The following is a 1,234-nucleotide window of genomic DNA, read 5'->3' on the forward strand; positions in this document are numbered from 1 at the left end:
GTCTTTTTCTGGCTTTGATATCAGAGTAATATTGGCCTCATAGAATGAGTTTGGAGAAGTTCTTTCCTCTTTAATACTTTGGAAGAGTTTGAGAATGATTGTCATTAATACTTCTCTAAATATTTTATAGAATTCACCATTGAAGTAATCTAGTCCTGAAGTAATTTACCTTTTTTGTTGGGAGGTTTTTGATTAGTAATTCGGTATTCTTAATAGTTAGTATTATCTTCAAATTTTCTATTTCTTCATGATTCATTGTTGGTAGGTTACATCTTTCATGGAATTTATCTATTTCTTCTAGGTTATGCCATTGTTGACATATAATTGTTCTTAGTAGTTTCTTATAATCAGTTTTACATCTGTGGCACTGGTTGCAATGTCTCTTTCATTTACATTTCCATTTACTCAAATCTTCTCTTTTTTTCTTAGTATAGCTAAAGATTTGGCAACTTTGCTTGTCTTTAAAAAGACAACTCAATTTGTTACCTCTTTTTATTGTTTTTCCGTCCTTTTTTTATATTTCTGCTCTAATCTTTGCATTTTTTTTCTTCTACTAATTTGAGCTTAGTTTTCTCTTCCTTTTTTAGTCTCTTGGGATGTAAAGTTAGATAGTTCATTTGAAAACTTGTTTTTTTAAATGTAGGTACTTACCGCTGTAAACTTTTCTCTTAGTGCTGCTTTGATGCATGTTATAAATATTGGTATGTTGTGTTTTCATTATTGTTTCTGCAAGATATTATATTAGATTGTGTTAGATTTTTCTAATGTTGATAAGATATTTTCTAATTTTTAAAAACTTCGTGTTTGAACTATTGGTTACAAGTGTGTTGTATAGTTTTCACAGATTTGTGAATTGTTCAGTTTTCTTCTGCTCTTGATTTCTAATTTTATTCCACTGTGGTCATAAAGACACTTGGCATGATTTCAGTCTTCTCAAATTTGTTAAGGCTTGTTTTGAGACCTAACGTGATCAATACTGGAGAATATTCTGTGTGTGCTTGAAAATAATGTTCATTCTGCTGCTGTTTTGTAAAATGTCTTCATGTTTCTATAAGTTCAATTTTCTATTTAGTATTGTTCAAATACTTGGTTTTCTCATTAACTTTCTATCCAGATATTTTATCCATTTTGAAAACGAAGTAATGAAATCTTTTACTTTTATTGTTTTGCTGTCTACTTCTCACTTCAGTTCTGTCAATGTTTGTAACACATATTTAGGTGTTCTGATATTGGG

Source organism: Homo sapiens, chromosome 21, assembly GCF_000001405.40.
Source record: "Homo sapiens chromosome 21, GRCh38.p14 Primary Assembly".
NCBI classification, from domain to species: domain Eukaryota; kingdom Metazoa; phylum Chordata; class Mammalia; order Primates; family Hominidae; genus Homo; species Homo sapiens.